Below are 22,820 nucleotides of genomic sequence, written 5' to 3'. Positions count from 1 at the left end.
GATGCAAATCTCAATAAAGAAAACCAATATGAAGCAATTCTCTTATTCAAAGATTCCTCAGACCATAGATGAGGGATTCTTGAACCTTGTATTTCAAAAGGAGCATTGCAAAAGCCTTTTCTTATTTTGTTCCTATTTTCTAAATGAAGGTTGCCTGAAATGTGATTCTTCACAATTGTGAAATACTACTAGATGATAAAAGCAAAGTTTTTCTTTTTTCTTTTCCTCTGCTGTGGTTTCGTGCTTCTGGAATACGCATTGCCATAAATATGGACTTTTACTTCATCCTGTCATGTCTTTATGCTTTTACAAAGGGAGCATCCTATTAATTTTATCTGAAGACAGAGAATACACTTCTTAACCATCTGACCTAGTTCATCCTGATTTCGAGTTAAATTAAAGCTCTACATACACTAGTAGAAGCACACTGTGCCTCAATTCTATACCTTTAGCCCATAAATAGAATTTTTATTACTAGTGCTATTTGAGAAAGCTTGTATTTCTCCCCTGGATTTCTTAAACCTCATTATCTACAGCTTAAATCCAAGCCATACTAAGTTTTTAACTAAAGACTGGTACAGAGAATGAGTTTCTTAAGATGCTTGTATTTGGGATTATTAACTTGAACCTCATTTCAGGAAATCCTGTCAGTGGGCCAGTTTTAATCAAAGAGAGTGAAGCAGAATAACAAAACCAGCAAAGAATGCCTTTGCTACATTTTCAGACTGTTCAGCTAGCTGCTTTCATTTCCCCAATTTGAAATATTCATACAAAGAGCTTGGAATGTAAGATTGTCCTATGGCAATACAATATGGATAAATTCATGAGTTCTGTAGAAAAGCAATCTCACTGTTACGGAAAAAGAGAAAACATTTTTATTTTACTCTGAGTGGTGTAAATGGAGTCATGATTCTGTCCTTGCAGTCAGTCCCTACTAGGAAATGAATGTTTGTGTCCTCCCCAAATTTATAGGTTGGAAACCTAACCCCTAAGGTGATAGTATTAGGAGGTGGGACTATGACATGAAGATAGAGCCTTCATAGTGGGATTAGTGTTCTTATAAAATAGATCGGAGGGAGCTTGTTTTTCTCTTCCACCATGCGAGGACACAGCTAGATGAACCAGAGATCAGCCCTCACCAGACATCTCACCAAACACTAAGTCTGCTGTTGCCTTGATCATGGACTTCCCAGCCTCCAGAACTTGTGAACAACAAATTTCTGTTGTTCACAAGCCAATTCCTGTTGTTTACAAGTCTACAGTATTTTGTGATGGCAGCCCAATGGGAATAAGATGATGCCTATATCAGCTTTCCCTTGGGGAGGACATCTTTGAAAAGCCACAAATGGTTTGTTTATAATAGCAGTGGTAACAGAATGGCACCTGCAGTTGGGGGAAAAAAAAGGACGCAGGCAAATTTTATAGAGCTGAATACAAGTTACCTAACCTCTCTGAGACTCAGTGTTCTCTTTACATTAACTAGAAATAAGAATGAGTACACAGGAAGAGCAAATGAGGAAATATCCATGAGAGTACATTCTAAAATACAATGTTTGAAGCATAAATAAGGCTTAGTAAATTGCCTTAATACCAAGATTATGAACAGAGACATGAAAGGACCATTGTCCAAAGATTCTCTAAGAATTTTACTACCAATTTCTACTCCTTTTAATGTAAATAATATGAATACTAATCTGCACATGAAACATGAATTGAAGCCCACTATTTCAAGATGTGGTAGAGCTGAATATGATACTGCACTTAGCAGTTCACTAACAGCTTGTCTATAATTTTTTATTAATAAATAATACTAAGCCTCGATAAATACCTCTGCTGCTCTTAGGAGAGAAAATGATAATTTGGTATAGGTAGGTGGGCCTTGTGTTACCTCAAATTTATTCCGTTTGATCTTGTCTCAGTTTGGAATCATAAATTTTCATATAAAGAAGTAAAGAGACTGAAATGGCATATTAACAGTTTATCATTTTATCATTATTTAACATGAATTGAGCACATATTATATGTTAGCTCCATGCTAAGTATTTTCTTTAAATCATGCTATAGCACTATCAAACATACGATTACAGTTGTTCACATTTTGTAGATGAACAAATTGGGATTAGGATAGTTTGGGTAATATGCCCAACATCATACAGTAAATTAAAAAAAAAAAAAAAAGGATTTGAACCAAAGTCTGTCTTTCCACAGACATGGAGCTCTAAATCACCATGCTTTGCTCCCCCTGCATGAATTAACCAGGTACAAAATGAGAGCAAACCTTATTAGGGTGTATAACATGTGCTTAGCAATACATTCTTCACCTAAGGAACTAATGTGTCTTGCAACCAGTCAATAGATGCTTTTTTTTTTTTTTTTGTATAAGAGGCAAAAGGTGAAATCACGGAGACTATCTTTTTAAAACATATTGAGATGCCTCCAAATTTGAGTAGAAGCTTAGAGATGGGCTCCAAGGTCAGCTGGAAAATAGGAAACAAACAACTTATTATTTTTCCTGAGCCCAGTTCCAACTTAGATTTGAAATCCTTCTCTACTGTAAACTGCCAATTACTTAAAAGTAAGAACTGTGGGTCTCCTGAGAGAGGTGGTGATAGACTGGGATGGAAAGGATGATGAGTTGCTTCCAGAAATATACATATACATATATATATATTCTTCTTGGATGATTTTTAAGAACCTTTAAATTAGTTTAATTTTAGAAACAGCACTGTAACAATCCACTCTATGCTCCTTGAAAAAAAAATTTTCAAAAACTATATGGAAAGGAATGTTTGACATTAGATTCGGAGTGTGTCTTTAAGATTAAAAGAGGCCAACTTTTAGGGCAGGTCCCTGGTCTTTGACAGTGGCCCCTCTATAATCTTTCTTGAGAAACTGGCAAGATATTTAGAAATCGTAGTATTTTACATAGTGTTCCATTTACCAATAATCCTAATTTTCTAAAAATATACTTAGGAAGTTTACATGAACGTAAGCAAAATACAGCCACAAGAATATTCATTACATTATTATTCATGATTACAAAAAATTGGAAACAAAATTGATGGAAACTAAATGTCCACCAATAGGAGATTGGCTATAAATATATATTGAAATATCTCATTGTCATTACAAATGAGGGTGCAGAGGACTGTTTAATGACTTGCATATATGTTCATGGTATATTTTTAAGAATTAAAAAAATTTACAAACAAATATGCAGTGTATTATACTAATTATGTTAAAAGTAGAATAAAGACAGGAAGGATATATGTATACTGAAATAAGAGTAGTTATCCTTTGGGGGAGAAATTAAGTATAAAAAGGATTTTATTGTCTCCTTTTTTCTTGCCTATATTTTCAGAATTTTCTTAAATGAGTATATCTGACTTTTTCAAACTTTATATATACATATATGTGTATATAAAGATATTTTATATACACATAGACATTTATATGTACATATATGTACATATAAAGACATTTTATATGTACATATATGTACATATAAAGACATTTTATATGTACATATATGTACATATAAAGACATTTTATATGTACATATATGTACATATAAAGACATTTTATATGTACATATATGTACATATAAAGACATTTTATATGTACATATATGTACATATAAAGACATTTTATATGTACATATATGTATATATACATTTTATATGTACATATACGTATATGTATATATAAATATGTATGTATATATACACATATACAAATATATATGTGTATATATACACATATATGTACATATAAAGACATTTTATATATACAACACCTATATATATAAAGACATTTTATATATACACCTATGTATATATAAAGACATTTTATATATACATACACCTATGTATATATAAAAACCTAAGTATGTATTTGTTTTGCTTTAAGCAAAGGAAGTAACTCTTCCTAATCTCCTTGCTTGTTTCCTTGCCTGCCCTCAGCTCTCATTTCAAATTCACTTCTAGAACTCTGGTTCTCCTGCTCGTTTTTGTCCTTTGGGAACTGCAATGGCACAATCTCAGCTCACAGCAACTTCTGCCTCCCGGGTTCAAGCGATTCTCCTGCTTCAGCCACCTGAGTAGCTGGGATTACAGGTGTGCACCACCACACCCAGCTGATTTTGTATTTTTAGTAGAGATGGGGTTTCTCCATATTGGGCAGGCTAGTCTCAAACTCCTGACCTCAGGCGATCTGCCCGCCTCAGCCTCCCAAAGTCCTGGGATTACAGGCATGAGCCACTGCGCCTGGCCTCTATTTTTTCTTGATGTACATACATTTCTTCTTTATGTACATAATCTCTTCTAGAAAATGGAAGCAGAGAGAATATTTTTAAATTCACTCTATGAGGCCAAATTACCATAATGCCAAAATAAGATAAAGACATTTCAAGAAAGTAAAACTGCAGACCAGTATCTTTCATTAATACAAATGGAAAAATCCTCAACAAATATTAGCAAATTGTGTCCAGCAACAATTAAAAAGACTTATGCACCACAACAAAATAGGACTTGTCTTGGGTATGCAGGACTGATGGTTCAATATTAGAAAATTAATTCATGAAATCCACTAATGAATAGAAGAAAAATCACATGATCATATCAACTGGTGCCAAAAAAAGCATTTGGAAAAATGCAACACCTATCCAAAATAAAAATTCTCAATGAACTAGGAATGGAGAGGAAGCTCCCCAACTTGATAAAAATGTCTGCCAAAAAATGTAGCACTAGCATCCTACTTAATGGTGAGAAATTGGATGCTTTCATTTTGGATAGCGGAAAAAGGCAAGCATGTTTACTCTTATCACTCACTGTCATCATTGTATTGGAAATCCTAGCTGGTGCAATAATACAAGAAAAGGCAAAAAAAATGTATATAGATTGAAAAGAAGGAAATAATACTTGTTCCCAGGCAGCAATGAAAAATCCCCAAGAATTAACAAAAAATAACTCCAGCACTAATAAGTGCTTATAGCAAGGCAACAAGATACAATGTTAATATATCAAAGTCAGTTAACTTTTGTTTATACCAGTAGTTAACAAATGGAATTTGAATTCCACAATTAACATACAATGCCATTTATATTAGCACTAAAACATGAAATTCTAGGGTTTATATAAAATAGTATTTCAGAATTTACATGCAGAAAACTATACAATCTCATAAAATCAATTAAAAGAGATCGAAATAAGCGGAGAAATAGTCTGTGTTCATGGATGAAAAGACTCAACACTGTCAGTGTGTCAAGTCTTCCCAACTTGATCAATAGATTTAAGTCAATCCCAATCAAAACCCCAATTGCTATTTCATGGATATAGACAAAATGATTCTAAGTTTGTATGGAAAGACAAGGAAAGCAAAACAAAACAAAATAGCCAACACAATGCTGAAGAAGAAGAATAAAGTTGGAGTACTGACATTACCTGACTTCAGGATTTACCGTAAAGCTACAGTAATTGAGGCAATGTGGTAATGGCAAAAGAATAGACAGAGCAATGGAACAAAAGAGATCCCGGTAATAGACCTATACAAATACAGTCAGCATATCTTTGACAAAGGAGCAAACGCAATACAGTGGAGAAAAATTTGTCTTTTTAACAGATACTGGAACGATTGGAAGTCCATATGTTATAAAATGAATAGACCCAGAAGTCATATCTTTCACAAAAATTAATGCAAAATGGACCATCAATGAAAATGCAAAACATAAAGCTATAATAGCTCTAGAAGATGACAGAGGAGAATATCTAGGTAACCTTGGATATAGTGATGAGTTTTTGTATTTAATGCCAAAAACACCGTTTATTGGAAAAAAAATTGATAACCTGCACATCATTAAAATAAAAACCTTGTGCTTTGTTAAGGACATTGTTAAGGAAATGCAAAGACAAGTCACAGACTGGGAGAAAATATTGGCAAAACGCATATCTGATAAAAGGCTTATGTTCAAAATATGCAAAGAATTCTTAAAGCTCATCAATAAGAAAATAAACATACCAATTAAAAATGTAGAAAAGATATAAGCAGACGTCTTACTAAAGAAGATAAATAGATAGCAAATAATCACATTAAAAGATGTTCACATCCTTTGCCGTTAGAGAATTACCAATTAAAACAACAAGGAAATACCACTATACACCTGTAAGAATGGCTAAAAAACAAAACAAAACAAAAACACACACAATATCAAATGCTGGTGTAGATTAAGAGAAATCAAAATTCTAATTTATTACTGGTGGTATTGCAAAATGGGACAGCACTGTGTGGAGTGGAAAGGTACTGATCAGTAAGTGGAGGAGAGCAGAGTGATCCATGTGGTAATGGATTAGAGTCGGAGACAACAACAAGATCATATGTTTAATTTAACATAATACAAATAGCTGTATGTAGAAATACTTATAGATATATGTACATAATAATTAGTATAGACACACATACTTCTTTTCTCTGTCATCTGAGAGCGCCTAAATAAATGACACTCCAGCAGCAACAAGCACACCTAGTACCCAGATATTGGTTTCTGATGTCATTCTTCAATAACAAGACCCTATCCTTGGAGACATGACTGCTTCTATGACTAGGGCATGAAACATACAAGATGAACCTGGAACATCTTTAATGCCAGTAAATAAGAAAGTGCTAACAGGTGCACACACACACACACACACACACACACACACACACAAAACACCCCATACATTGATGAGTGCATAACAAAGGGCACAAGATCCAACTTAAAAGTCTCCCAATGGCAAAAGCTAAAACAATTTGAGCAGCAAAATAAACAAAGTAGCACAGAATTACAACCCAAAGTCTAAAATAATTATATGTGAGTCAGTACTGACAGAAGTAAATTATTAAATATTAATAAATGAGGAAGAAGTGACACATTTCACAGGTAGAAGAATTCTATAGTCTCATTATTCTGCAGAAGGTGAAGCACAACACTCTATTCATCAAATGTGGACTACACATAGTCACCCATTTCCAAAGAGTCAGTATGGAGTGGGAGAAAAGAGTAATTTTACAGTGGAGAACCCTGATAAAAAGTATTTCAGCCAGGTAATCAAGGCCAGCATCATCTGTCATAAATCATTATGATAAAGTTAACCTTGATATGTAATGAAAATTGTTCCTTACCTTTATGTTCTTCCTCTCCAAAACTTGTAACCCCAGTCTAATTATGACAAATACAGACACATTCTAACAGAGGGGCAGCCTACAATAAACTGACCACCACCCCTCAAAACTGTCAGGGACATCAAACACAAGAAATGTCTGAGATTCTGCTACAGACAAGAGAAGACTAATGAGACAAGAAAACTCGATGTAATATGGTATTCTGGATGGAATCTTGGAATAGAAGGGCATAAATACCAAATAAATTTGAATAAAATATGGACTTTATAATAATCAGACATCAGTATTGGCTGGTTAATTGTAACAAATGCATCATAATAACGTAAGATGTTAGTAACAAGGGAAATTGTGTGTGGGGGGGTTATATTGGACCTCTCTGTACTATCCGTTCAATATTTCTGTTCTAAAACTATTCTTTAAAATCCATTAGTTAAAAAATGTATTTATGAACAGAGGGGAAAAAAGGAAGAAATAATTTTCCATTTCTCAGAAATACAAGAAACCCTTAAATAATAGCCTAAAATTAGCTCTGCTAAAGAAATGACAGTGACCCTCTCCAGTCTCTATTTGATAAAGGGCAGCGTGGGAAAAAGATAATCAGTAAAGCTCCCAAAGTGAGGATCCTTGACTCTTCCTTCACTGAAAGTCTGGAAGGAAAGAGCTGATCCCAAGAGAATGTGTGATTGCACATTGTTACATCAATCTTATTTTCATTAGCCTGCAACCTCCCCGGGGCCTTTATGTAATCTTCTTTATCTCCCAGGGCCAAGTGTCTGTCCTTTGGAGAATCCCTCCTGACTGACTACCTAAATGAAGAAATGAAGGAATTAATGATGGAATGAGGTATTCAATACATATTTGCTAAGTGAATGAATAATTTGTGCTCAATTTGTCAAATGAGTGAGTGAGGAAACGTCAGTAACTCTTAGAAAGATTGAACAGAATTTAAAATGATAAATCTATTCTTCTGGGGAAGTCCCTTAACACAAAAATATAATACAGAAACCACTTCGCTCCTTCTTACATGTTCCTTTTTACCTCCTCAGTCAAAGCAGCTTTGACAATTCCCAGGATTAATAAAGTAGTTACTATTTAATGCCTATTATGGGTCAGGAAATTTAGTAAGTGAGCTTAATAGTATTTCCAGTCCTTACAAACATTCTGCTGTATCTATTTATTCTCTCTCTATCATTTTTGCCTTCCTTATACAGATAAGAAAACTGACCAAAGTCATCCAGCTATTGACAAGTGAAGTTAAGACTCCAATCCTGCTCTATTTGAACTTAAAGTCCACACTTTTCAGCATACCATTTGCCTTCAAATGCTAGTAAATTCACTGATAAATTATTTATTGCTAGGTTGAGCGCTTGTTTATGTGAGAGTGTAGTGGGTTTAATGTTATCTTTCAATTTCTGAATAATTGGCTTGAAGATTTTTTAGTTCTCAGATTTGTGAGCATGGTCAACAGAGGTGAGTGTTCTATAGAGTTTACTTGATTATTTTATGCCAAGCAATACCACGTCATGTTAAAAAAAAGTTATTGATAATATCGTGTTATAGAAAAAGCCATTAGCAAGAATCTAAAGATTAGGTTTCAGTATACATTTCTGGAGTGAATGGGGTAAACTATGCCTAGGAAGAGATTCTGTTCTCTATCTGCTCAACTCAATGAGGGGAAACAAAAGGTAAACAATTTTTTAGACATCCAGTTTCAAAATCATTAAGATACCTGAGTGATTAATTCAATAAACCAAAAATAATCGCTAAGGAACTGAAAAATTTCAGTGTGCCTAGCTTGATTTAAAAATGTTATTTTCATCTTAAGTGACTTGAAAAATCTTTCTGCAGTATAATCTGCAATGATGTCCACATTAGTAAGACGAAAAGCAAACACTATAAGAAATAGCTCCTCTGTCACCTGAAAATTCTGGAACACCTAACAACATCATGGTGAGACTTCAGATTTGTTGCTTGACATTAATAGCCAAGCTGGGTATCTTTAGCTTCATAAATTAGAAAAAAAAATAAGTTATACATGTACACATAAATATAGTCCTCTGTGTGAAGGCTTCAGAACACACAGGAACGTTCAGTGCTGCTACTAATGTTATTTACATTCCAGAACACTGACAGAAAAGGTACTAAATTAAGATTTTTTTAAAAAAAGGAAAATATGTTTGGTTGTTTATAAAAGCAGTAGAATAGAGTTATGGGGGATATCAGTTTAATTTCTTCACTCAGCAAGAGCCCATATTTTTTTCAAAGGAGACGTACATATCTATCAGTCAATCATACTACATTTGCATAGCACCTATACAAGGAGCTTCTCAGGGTATTTCACAATACAATTAATTTGCAGCTTTCATAATTAAGAGTCCACCATGTTAAACAAATGAGACAAAGCTGAGAGTTGAAAGCTGTGATCATGTCAGCTCTGAAACTCCAACAAAGGAAGTCAGTTACATATCCCCAAAGTCATAGCAATTAAAGTTAAGACAATTACTTGAAGCTTTGTCTTAATTATTCTATACTCACACTAGCTTATAGTGGTTTAAGATTGTTAGATTATATGAGTAAACACTTCACCTGTTCTTCTCTAGACCTCACTTTTTATACATTCTGTCTGCATGATGGTATCCGTGACAGAAGCTATGTTTTCTGAGTGCTACCTAATCAGGTATACCAGACTTTTAGAAATGGTGTACATTGCCATCATCATCTATAAAATAATAAGGTGTATAAACCTGATTTTTGATGTTTTTGAAAACACTTTTTTCTTCTCATTAAAACACAGCTTGAATTTTTACAAGTTTATCTTTTGAATTTTGTTTTTTTTTTTTTTTTTGACAGAGTCTCATTCTGTCTTTAGGCTGGAGTGCAGCAGCACGATCTCAGCTCACTGCAACTTCCACCCTCTGAGTTCAAGCAATTCTCCTGCCTCAGCCTCCCGAGCTGGGATTACAGGTGTCTGCCACTGCACCCGGCTAATTTTTTGTATTTTTTGTAGATAAGGGGGTTTCACCTTCTTGGCCAGGCTGGTCTTGAACTCCTGACCTCGTGATCCACCCACCTCGGCCTCCCAAAGTGCTGGGATTACAGGCGTGAGCCACTGCGCCCGGCCAAGGGTTATTTTTAATATATAAAATTAAAACTTACTTGTTGCTGGAATATTAGTTATTATAGATAATATAAATGGGAAATATATCTATAATTCCATTCCCTAGATAAAGCATTTTTTAACATTTTGCTGAATTCTTTCAAGCCTTTTTCTTGTAAAATATTTACATAATTGAGGGTCATACTACATCTGCACATGGAGGATTAAGTAAGTCAGATACTTAGAAGTTAATTCAATATAAATATGAAAGTGTTATAAGCATGAGTTTTGAAGTCAGAATCTATGAGATGTAGATTTGAATCCCAGATATGCAACTTATGCAACTTACATTGGTTAAGTCACTTAATTTATCTAAGCCTCACTGTATTTACCTCCGTAATTAGTATTTCAAAAACAGTGAAAAACTAGACAAATATATGGAAAAAAAAAACCTCTTTCTGGAACTTGAACAATTGGCAACACAAAAGTATGATCCTGAAAGAGGGGAAATAAATGAAGTAAGGTTTTGGTAGCCCTTATTTTCTGTGTAGAGATGCTTTCCATCCAGATCAGGGAGTAGGTAGGGGAGACATAAGTAGTAAAGTACTGTGTCACTAAGCTGAGAAGACAAAGATAAGATTTGGAGAGGCTGAAGTGGCTGGAATTGCAGAGCACAGTGTTAGAAAGAATGGCATTACTCAAATAATGTGCTCTGAAGATCTGCATAGGAGTGTCACATGAGGCTGGGCAAAGAATAATTTTCAGAGCTCAAATAGGCCTGGAAGACATGAGAGCTCCACTATGCCAGAGAAGAAAAACTTGGTGAACATTTGAAGCATTCAGTTGGGGATTTCATTTTAGTAGTAAACCAGCCTTAATAACCACAGAAAACTCGAGGATTCACAGTAGTATAACAACTGCCTATCAAAATAAAGTTCAAAAAGCTTTTTAATAAATACACCACAATTTAGCATTCAACAACAAGACATTTATGGTGTCTACTATTCAATCTTAAATTACTAGATATCCAAACAAGCAAAAAAATGAGAACTGTGACTAGGAGAAAAAGCAGCCAATAGAAACAGACCCACAAATAACTGAGATGATAGAATTAGCAAGCGAGGACTTATTTAGGGCTCCTATATAATTACAGTGCAGAGAATTACAGCTGAAATAACGGCAAGCTTTAGATGCTATTTAGGAAAGAGTCTCTAGGGAAACCCAAGGGCAAGAGTGGAGATAAAAGCAAAGGTACTAGCTAAAATTTAACCTCTGATACCACAGCTAGAGCCAACAGTAATTACAGTCTAACCCTAGCTAGAAAAACATAAAACCTCACGCTAAAAGTTTAGTTATTGAAGTTCCTTTAATCTGATATAATAATGACCAGGATTCAAAAAAAAGTGCAAAGCCTGCTAAAAAACAGTCTGAAGAGACAAAACAACCATGATAACTAGACTCAAATACAATGAAACTTTTAGGACTATCAGGCTGAGGATTTAAAATTGAACAGTTATCAGACTGTAATTTTGAATTACTATAATTAATATATTAAGTGCTATAATAAAAAAGTGAACAGCATACAAGAACAAATGGATAATGTAAGCACAGAGAAGAAAACTCTAAGAAAGGATCAAAAGGAAATGCTGGAAATAAAATAAGTTATAACACAAATGAGGGATGGCTTTGATGGGCTCACCAGTAGACTGAACATAGCTAAGGGGGGAAGTAAATGAATGACAAGCAGTATCAATAGAACCTCCCAAACTGAGATGCAAAGATAAAAATAAAAATTTTAAAAAGATTAAGAACTTGGACAGAAGGGAGATTACAAATGGCATAAAAGATAATGTAAAACAAATACTAAAAGGAGAAAAAAACAAACAAATAAATGTTTGAAGTAATCATGCCTGAATAGTTTTCAAAAATAATGACAAACACCAAACCATAGACTCAGGAATTTCAGAGAAAACAAAGCAAGATAAATAAATAACAAAAATAATCTACAACCTCAAGAGAAAAAATATTCCCAGTGATAGGGGGTGATATTTCCTAGTTATGTGAGCACATGTATGGGGTACATTAAACAAACATTTAACAAAAGCCAATTTTTATATCAGAAGCTCTCTTATGACCTAAAAATAAAAAATGTAATAAGATCTGGCACTGGAGCTGGTCTTTCTATATTTTCATTTCTTTTTCCTTCTACCCACCTATTGATTTCCTTCCTCCCTCTTCTCTCTCTCTTTCCCCCATCTATTAAAATATATACATCTTAGTCTAATAAATGTGTAGTCTATAGCTTAAATAGCAGTCAATGAATAGTAATGTAATAAGAAAAAAATATTTGATTTTATTCCTCAAGTCAACTAGCTTTTCTCAGTTTTGAGGTTATGCAACATCTTACAAAAGAGTAAAGTACATCACAAAGTAGACAGGAAGATTTAGAAGGATTAGTAAAAGGGAGTCCCCACATTTGGGGAAAAAAATGACTAAAACCAAATGCTGCACAGCAATATTTTTATGAAGAGATGTTAGAGAATATGATTTATAATAAACAATAGACTTTATAAAAACACTTGGCAACAAACTTACAAATACAGATTTATAATTTTGAAGATAAGACGTTTGACTTTTTATTTTCAGATTGTTAATTATATACCTATAACATAATTAATCTTCTAGTGAGTGTGTCGCCTTTTATGCTTGTTAATTTTATATATTTAGAAGACAATATGGCATTTGCTAAATACCTTAATTTATAATGGACTCAAAGGCATTTTCAGTATGTTTGCAATGTGTCAAAGATAATTTAATTTGTTTTCTGAAAACTATTGGCAAGCATATATAAAATTCTTTTTGGTAGTAACTCACATTTGTAAGTTTTCCAAAGTAGTCAAAGTATTTTCACATACATTTCGTTGTTTTGAAGAAATGAGAAATGTATCTGCACTCCAACTACACAAAATGTAAGATTGTTATACAGGGCATCTTAACGCTACCGCTTTGACCGAGCAGATGCTTCAGACTTTCCATTTTTACCACAAGGTATTTCAATTCTATATTAATGCCTTCATTTAATAAACATAATCTCAACATTGATTAATTTTGTTAGATAACAATTTAGGGAGTGTACTCTATTAAATCAAGAATTTCCTTGACAATTTTCTATGAGGTATGGTTTGGTAATTTATATTATTTTCCTATTCCCATTTAACATTATTTCATGTTCAACGGTTATTTCCTGCATAAACTTAACCAACATGATTTATTTATCAGGGGGTTTCTTTTGTACATACACATCAGATTTTACATTTTGAGAGTTTTTTAAACTATTAATTTTCCAACTCAAATTTTTCTGGGTCAAATATTGCTAGTTTAATTTTTGTCAAAAGTTTAGGAGCCGGGCACAGTGGCTCACGCTTGTAATACCAGCACTTTGGGAGGCCAAGATGGGTGGAGCAGGAGGTCAGGAGTTAGAGACAAGCCTGGCCAACACAGTGAAACTCCGCCTCTACTATAAATACAAAAATTAGCTGGGTGTGGTGGCAGGTGCCTGTAATTCCAGCTACTCTGGAGGCTGAGGCAGGAGAATCACTTGAACCGGGGACGCGGAGGTTGCAGTGAGCCGAGATCGTGCCATTGCACTCCAGCCTGGGCGACAGAGTTAGACTCCGTCTCAAAAAAAAAAAAAAAAAAAAAAAAAAAAAAGTTTAGGGACTCCTGTATTATAAATTTTACCTTTTGCAATTTAATAATACGTTGATTATTTCCATCACCATGGAGTTAATAGAAAATAAGACACTGCTTTATTTATTTTTAAATTATTCCACATACCTCATATATCCCAAGCTTCATTTTTCCTGATTAGATCTTACCATGTATCTGGTTAAATATATTTGTGTGTGGAGAAAGAAAGAGAGAGAGGGGGAGAGAGAGAGAGAAAGGGAATGTAGCACAGGTTTACACTTGGTCAATTCAGATAGAGTATATGATGTCCGTGTGTTACTCTTTCAACTTTTCTATAGGTTTGAATAATATAAAAATAAATAAATTTAAGAAACTGGTATGTGAGCAGTTCAAAGACTATATTGATCATGTTATCTCTCCTTTTCTTCCTTTCTTTCTCTCTTTCTTTCTTTCTTTCTTTCTTTCTTTCTTTCTTTCTTTCTTTCTTTTTCTTTCTCTTTCTTTCTCTCTCTTTCTTTATCTTTCTTTCTTTCTTTCTCTTTCTTTTCTTTTTCCTTCCTTCCTTCCTTCCTTCCTTCCTTCCTTCCTTCCTTCCTGAACTGACCCTAATTGCTCCTTTCTCTCTTATACTGTCATCAATCCTGAGACAGAGAGAACAGGACTGGGCTGGGAAAGATGAGAATTCATACCCCCTCTGAGACACCTACTCTCCCTTGGGCATCCTCACTAATTCAAACATTGCTTATATAAAAGCAGAATGCGGTCGGCGCAGTGGCTCACGCCTGTCATCCCAGCACTTAGGAAGGCTGAGTCGGGCGGATCACGAGGTCAGCAGATCGAGACCATCCTGGCTAACGTGCTGAAACCCCATCTCTACTAAAAATACCAAAAAAAAATTACAATTAGCTTAGCGTGGTGGCGGGCACCTGTAGTCCCAGCTACTTGGGAGGCTGAGGCAGGAGAATGGCGGGAACCCGGGTGGCAGAGCTTGCAGTGAGCTGAGATCAAGCCACTGCACTCCAGCCTGAGCAACAGAGCAAGACTCCGTCTCAAAAAAAAAAGTAGAATGAAATTTGGATTTTGGTTTTAGAATAATTCAGTGAGCATTTATTACATAAATGCCAAGTCTTAATGTTTTAACATGTATTATCCATTCTAATCTTCACAACAAACATACAAGGTGGAATCATCATAACTCCTTTCAGATGAAAATATGGTAATTCATAGAGATTATAAGCACGTTTGCTAACAATCAAATAACTCTTCAGAAAATTGGGAATTGAATCTGTCTCCCAGGATTTCAAAAGCAGTTCTCTTACTATTTACTTAGAAGTTCCTAAATTCAGAATTTAAAATCAGGTGGGCCTGGGTTTGAATTGCTTGCTTCCTCTGAATAGAAACATAAGATTGAACAGGTTACTTCTCCAATCTGAGCTTCAGTTTCTCATATGTAATGAAAACGTAACTTGCCCTGCAAGATTATGACAATTATATATATTGTATCATAAATGCTTAGTTATAGGTGCTTAGCAAATGAAATTATTTTCATTAGATTCTTGAGAAATAGCCTCAACATTTTCAATTATTTTATTGTGGAAGACCATTTTTTAATTTCAGGAATCTATATTTCCTGATGCCAAATATGATTAAATAAGCTATTAATATTCTTTTCAGATACTCTCTTTCATTGGTTTTCTTTTAAAATTAATTATCTAATTATCAAAGAATTTGATGACATTTAATATTTTTATAAACCTTAACTTCTGAAAAAGCCTGAAAATGGTGAAAGTTCATTATGTCTTAAAAGGCAGACAATTAAAAACTGATGTAAAGCCCCTATTTGTCACTTTCTTAAGAATCATTTAATCAATCAATAATTATTTATTTGATAAATGCTATGAGACCCATACTCTATGAAAATAAAATACGGTCTCTTAAATCCATGAGAAATGACTATTCTGAGAAATTTCATTCAAAGATATGCAAAACTCCATCTATAGAAAACAAACTAAGATTTAGTAACCACCATTATTTGGATTGCTGAGTATGTTTAACTTAATAATATGACTGAGACATTTAAGGATGTTTTCTAGAATTTGGAGACTAAGTCACTATTTCTAAATGTGAGGGCCACATTAGGAATAGACTTTGGATTTAGAGGTAAGCCCTCCGAGCTTACCTCTGAGTCAGTCAAGTCTTTTACTATTCAAAGTATGTTCTGTTTACAAGAAGCATGACTAATATATGGGAGCTTTTTAGAAATGGAGGAATCAAACATCACCCTAGACCTCTAGAGTCAGAATATGAATTTAACCATGTCCCCAGGTAACTCACATGCATATTAACATTTGAAAATGACAGTCTAGTCTATCTGTCTCCTTCTTTTTTTCTGGTGTTTATAGGCACAAAAATGAAATTTGTATACCTCCAAAAAGCAAAGAGGGGTTCTAGATATCCCATGCAAAAATGTAGGTATTTTCCTGGCTTAAAAGTATTCCAAACCTGTTCCTAATAAATACTTATCTGAGTAAAACAAAATGCCTCCACTATCAGGGAAGGTTGGGCTCAATTCTAATTACCCACTATGAACAATGGACTTTAATTAGTCTTATTTTGGAAACAAGCAGTGGTTTTTTATTTATCAGAATTGTTGGTTAATTAAGCAAGGAAATACTCCAGGCAATGTATTTCTGGATGTAGGACAAGATGGAGTGAAGGATATGTGGAAGGTTTAGTGACTTGCCCATCATCTTATACGAGTGCACTTATTCCCTTGCAATGTGCTGCCTAAATGGGTCTCATTATGCTTAAACTAAGGAAATATCAGCACCTGTAGGGAAGAATTGCAGCCCTGATCATTTTCAGTTACAGGCCTGGTCATTGTCTCAGTATTAGACATGTTTGTTTAAATTCAAATCAGAAAGTTCCACTGTTGCCCAGCATTTGAAATCTACTTGGTAATTTACCTTAGAGCAATATATGAATAACAAAAAGGTTTTTAATAAAAAAAAATTAATGCAACCAGGAAAACAAAAACAAAAACAAAAACCTTACTTTCCAAGGGCAAAACATTCCAGTTTTACAGATGAATCCTTTGCAGCTTGTATAGTTTCAGGAAAACGCACTTCAATCTTTGGTTCATATTCCCCCATCACACCTGTTAAATATCAAAAGAGCTAGCAGCATTTCTGGAGAATAGAAGTTTTCTATGAAGTAAATGCTTCATTAACCAAAACCTGATTATTTCTTCTTAATAAGAGTTAGGGTTTTCAGTTAAGAATTGGATACATATAGATTCTAAAATGCTTCTGTGTTTTCAAAAAAGACACTTTTCTAGTGACATCCACATTTATCTACCTTTCAGGGAACTCAGAGAGCCAGATCTGATTAATAAAAAAAAAAAAAAAGAAAAAAACAACAACAACGGGATGTTTTCAGCTAACACTGGTAGAAGTCCACTGCAGTAGGTCTTAGTCCAAAATAACAGTAGTTCTGCAGCAGAACATATAAAGGCATCACATTAATTGAGATAAAAATGTAAATATTCACATATTAGTACAATAAGGTTTTGCCGCTAAGTTTGCTGTATACCTATACGAATTTGTTTTAAGTTTTAAAACTTTCAATCCAAGGAATTGGGGATATGTGCCAAGATAAGATGATGGTATAACCTATTGTAAATACACTGCCTACCAGAGGAGTTGTAACAGAAATATATCTGTAGGCTATTCTCATTAACTTAATTAATTTAATCAGTGACATCTCAAGATTATTTAAATACTTTGATCATTTTTAATCTATGTACCAAACGACAGAGTAATACATTTCTAAAATAAATACATTGTTGGTGGTCAATATAATTGCAGAAAAAGTAAAAATTACAAAATATATATGAAATAAAAATACTTAATTTTTAAGACTTGATCATTATAAACATTCAAAGAGGTTATGGTGAGAAGGTAGTGAGTACTACTTCATTCAACTAAGTTGGTAGGTTTTATTCTTTTTCACTTTCTTGACATCTGATATTTCCTACCTGCTCACTTTTAAAATAGGTTTGATTTTTATATTATATATAATACTTCTGCTCTATTTTTCCTGTAAATGTATTCAAGGGAATAGAGGGGATAGAAGAAGGAAGGAATTAAGAAGGCAAGAAGCAGAAACTCAGAGTAGACAGGAAACAAAAAAAGGAAAAACATGGTAGAATCTCCAAGTATATTGTTGGCTCATGAATTCTTCTGGTCATAAATAGTAGTATTCATTGAAGGAGATAAATTGGACTTAGGAATAAGTCTAATGGTTGCTGAAATCTTAGTGAAGACCTTGCAAATACATTTGGGTGGTTAGTGATTATAAAAGCTCTATTATAAGAACTCCTTCTATGGGACTTGTTCCACAATTCTGTTATGCTTCATTAGCATTATATTCTTGCTTTTCTTCAACTCTTCAGAGGGGAGAAAAACTCCACGAGGTATTGCATTTCAAGTCCTGAATACAATCATAAAATGCACCAACAAATTTTCTACCTGTATGAATCCCACTGTGAACATTTAATTAAAAAAACAACTAGAGAATTTCTCCACTTCAATGACTTCCTTAAACTTTCTGGCTCTCTAAATCTTGTACCAGCCATGACTTGACTAAGCTACAAAGCTCGTCAGAGACTAGTGTGAATTATGTTCCTTGGAGGAATATAATTAGTATAAATCTTGTGTTTCATTCTTCTCTGGAATGCTCATAATTAATGTTGGTTTGCTTTGCTTTCCTTGGATATGAACTTTTCCCTCCATTTTGCCAGCCACGTAAATAAAGGGTGAACAACAAAAAAAGGGCAAATATGGAAAAAAGGGGCCATTAAAAAGTAGCTGCAACATATGTTCATTAAAAATATATTGATTCAGTTATATGTTTGGCAGCACCCACACGTGCACACATACACACACGCCAACTCCCCGGAACATCGTTTTTGTTTTTACAAAACAGTCTTTAAGCAAAAAAAAGACAAGCTGTTTCAATGCCAGAAAGGAGATGGCTTGGTATACCCAGAACCATGTCTACTGCACCATGTGGGTGAATTAGATAATTTTCTGTTATATTTCTGGTTTACATATTTGTGAATTGAACCTAAACTCGTAATTTGGCTCCACCAAACAAGAAGGAAGCAGAAAGCTTTACGAATCTTCCCAGGCTTTAAGGGCCAAAGATAAAGTACATTCCCAAGATAACTCATTATCTTACCATCAGTGCGCTGCACTAATGGAGTGGGTGGACCTTGAACACTTCTCTGGGCCTCTTTGTTAGTTATAAAGCAAGTGTAGTTGCCCACATCTGATGGTTCCACTTTGGCAATGTACAAGTTTCCCGTCTCTTGAGATACAAATCGCCTATTGTCCTCTTGGACGTATAAGGGGTTATCATTGAAGGTCCATGCATAAGATAAATCTGAAAAACAAGAAACAAAACAAAACAAAACAAAACCATACTGTCCTTACTGCATTCATTCATATCTGAAAATTCTTTGTCTTACTTCCCCATAATTAGGAGAAAATTGTGCCTCTATTTGCTCAGTTGATAGCTGTCATCTGGTGTAATTGTAATATTCCCTTATATTGAAATATAGCTCAGATTGGACGATAAATTATGTGGGCACTTTCCCCATCATTGACTTTTTGGGATTAAGGATATAACAATAGGATGTTATGGAAATAAGTGGATGAGTTTATTAAGAAATACCATAAGACGTATAAAATAATAACTGTTCCAAATGTACACTGAATTCCTTAGGAAAAACTTATGCTGCTTCAAAGCAGTGTTTCTCAGTGCATTATCAGAAGAATTAAACATACTTACAGGTACTTGTTAAAAATTTAACTTAAAAATTTCAGTTCAAGAAGTCTACCACAGACCTTGAAGTTCACTCATTTGATCATTACATAATTTCTTTTTTATTTTTAAAGAGATGGGGTCTCACTATGTTGCCCCAGCTGGTCTCCAACTCCTGAGCTCAAGTCATTCTCCTGCCTTAGCCTCCCAAAGTGCTAGGATTACAGGCATGAGCCACTGCACTGGCCTGATTATTACATAATTTTAAGCAGCTATTCTGTGACAGTTTTAGGTCTTAGTGTAAAACCAAACAAAACCTGTGCCCTATAAAGGTCACACCAGTTACTGCTAATTGCCAATAATGTGAGTAATCTCAATGAAGGATAACATATGCTTTGACAAAGGCATTATAGGGAGCCCAGAGAAGGAGCCTAGAATGATGTGTCATCAGAAAAGACTTCTAAGAAGGAATTCCATTTTGAAACCGGCACGATAAACTAGAGCTATCCAAGTGACGGAGGAGTCGACAAGCATTTCTCCGAGTAACTATCAAGAGCATAAACATGAAACAGGGCACACATTGTTTTTACTGAACATCAATCAGTCCATCTCTGGAAATCTTGTGGGTAACTGTATAAATGACATAATGAGCATATGTTAAAATGCACAGAACTTGTGTTCCGTTTAATCACTTGTGACCATTATATACCCCCTGTAACCATCCTTCCCCAAGTAAAATGAGGAAGATTTCCAGGTCTTCAGAAATCCTCCCCTGTTTTTTTCTACTGCTGCAACCACTACTGGATTTCTATCATCATAGATTATTTCTGCTGTCATTTGTATGTCATCATAAAACAAACAGAATGTACTATTTTATGTCTGAATTCTTTCATTTAACATAATTTTAAGGTTCACCTATTGTTTTCATGACTATAAGCCCTTTCTTCCATTATATTGTGGATAGTATTTCATTTTATGAATATACCATAATTTGATTGGACACCTTCCTGTTGATGAGCATTTGGATTATTTCCAGATTGAGGTCATTATGTATTAGGTGGAAATAAGCATCCTTGTCTAAGACTGTCTGTATACATTTTTATTTTTCTTGGTTAGATTCCTAGGAGTAAGCCATAATGTAGATGTAAGTGTAACTTTATAAGAAATGACAAAAGAATTTTTTAAAGTGGTTGTATCAGTTTATACTTCCACCAGCAATATTTGAGAGTTCCAGTTGTCCCATAACCTCACAAAAATCATGTGCTGTCAATTTCTTTCGTTTTAGCCAGAAATCTTTGAGCAAAAGCAAATATTCATATGTATTAAAGCTTGGTGAATATAATTCTTCCTGAAGCTAAGACATTAGGTGTACTGCGGAAACTAGGTAGAGTAGAACTATGTCTAGGGAAGTAGAAGAATATAGCTGGTCCAAAGGAGATCCCCAAAATAGGTGGAGTATATAGGTACTCAGGGTGGAGAAGGGGAATATACTGCAACTAACTCAAAAAAAGTCTTCAGTTGGATGGACCCTCATACACTTTTGAATTATAGTTCACAGGGGAGTAGTTTATGCATCTTGGAGCCTCTTGTCCAAACAGAGAGCTGAGTTGCTATTTGCCAACTGTACTTACATTAAAAACTGGCACGGAAGCAAGACATGGCAGAGACAAAAGAAGCTAATTATTTCTGATATGTTCCGGTAGGCTTCCTCAGCTGGGAAGAGACCACCTGAAACATTCTTCACTAACCTTACTAAATTTAAATTCCCAAAAGTAAAAGGTGGCAAAACAAACTGACAGCTATTTTGGACTTAAATCTGATCTATAGAGACAAACTCTTGAAAATGGGAATGAGGGAATATTGTCATTTTGTCATCCCTTCCATCGAGAAAAAAAAAATGCATGAAGCATGAACCATACTTAAAGGAATGAGATTTTAGGAAGGAAGAAATAAAGGAAAAAAGGAGAAAGAAAATGTGGAAGGAAGGAAAGAGAAAGAAGGAAAAAGTTAATCTATTAATAGTGGGGAGGAGCAAAATAATTAATTTCTCACAACAATTTATAAATGATGTCAGTAAAAAGAAATTTGTCTCTGCAGACAGAACCCTGATATCGTTCCCAGGAATGGAGAAGAAATAAAGTAAAGATGAGACCAGGAACAGCAGGAGCACAGTAAATGCTACTTGCGCATGAAGTGAGAAAATGCAAAAAGTGTCATTAAACCATAAAAGTAGTGTCATGTGGGAAAAAAAACCTAAGCAGCATTGTTAGGTAAAAAGCATGTTATGAGTGTGGGAACTTTGTGTGTGTGTGTGTGTGATATGTTTATGCAAATTCTTACATTTAAAAACCTGGAGATGTATACAGTGGTTTTCTCAGAGTGAGTGGAGGGAAATACAAAAGGCTTTTACTCTCTTTGTAATGTGTTTCTGTCGTATTATAATTTTAAATTGCTATGCATTTTTTGTGTAAATGGAAGAAAGAATCAACAGGATAAGAAGAGTGTCAGAAAGGCTAAACACTAGAATGAGCTGCAACTTGTAAAAACAGGGTGGATAACATTTCTTATTCTTACTCTGAACCGTTCAAATGGATGTTTTATGTTTTATGCAGGCACTGATTCCCACACCTGATGTACATTAGAATCACTAAAGAAGCTTGTTAAAATACAAATAGCTAACTCAATTCTTAGCAATTTAGTTTTATTTATTCTATCTGAGCCAGGTATCATGGGATCTGTGTTTTCGACACCCTCCAAATGACGCATGCAATTGACTGAAATATTTTGTTCGGAGCACCCATTATTGAAAGAGGAATTAAAAATATCAAGTTTATCAAGAGATAAAAAATAAAATGTAGCAAAAGCCAGTCACAAAACATAGTGATAAAACTTTGATTTTGCCTCTGGAAAAAAAGATTCTGGAAGCATATTACAGCTGTCTGTTTACATTGAAGAGCTGCCACACGCATAAAAAGTTAAATAAAACCCTCTCTATCAATGTCCAGAAGGCAAAAGTAGGACTCGTGGCTGCTGGAGGTGACAGAATGCT

The 22,820-nt window shown here is 34.3% G+C and overlaps 1 protein-coding gene across 23 annotated transcripts in view; it reads right to left on the bottom strand.

The window, feature by feature from the left end:
- The window catches only part of CNTN6 (contactin 6), a 311,194-nt gene that overhangs the window by 89,227 nt on the left and 199,147 nt on the right, over positions 1–22,820 (bottom strand). For 18 of the 23 annotated variants that reach the window (XM_011533590.3, NM_001349351.2, NM_001349354.2 and 15 more), the window contains 2 exons: positions 19,187–19,390; positions 17,000–17,102 (listed from right to left, as the gene is read on the bottom strand). The exons of 2 other annotated variants lie outside the window; for them this stretch is intronic. In XM_011533590.3, the coding sequence (XP_011531892.1) occupies positions 17,000–17,102; positions 19,187–19,390 (307 nt within the window). The remainder of the gene's footprint in view (positions 1–16,999; positions 17,103–19,186; positions 19,391–22,820) is intronic. 3 more of the 23 variants (NM_001349362.2, NM_001349358.2, NM_001349356.2) reach the window with 1 other exon arrangement.

This window comes from Homo sapiens, chromosome 3 (assembly GCF_000001405.40).
Source record: "Homo sapiens chromosome 3, GRCh38.p14 Primary Assembly".
NCBI lineage: Eukaryota > Metazoa > Chordata > Mammalia > Primates > Hominidae > Homo > Homo sapiens.
This window is presented reverse-complemented; position numbering and strand designations above follow the sequence as displayed.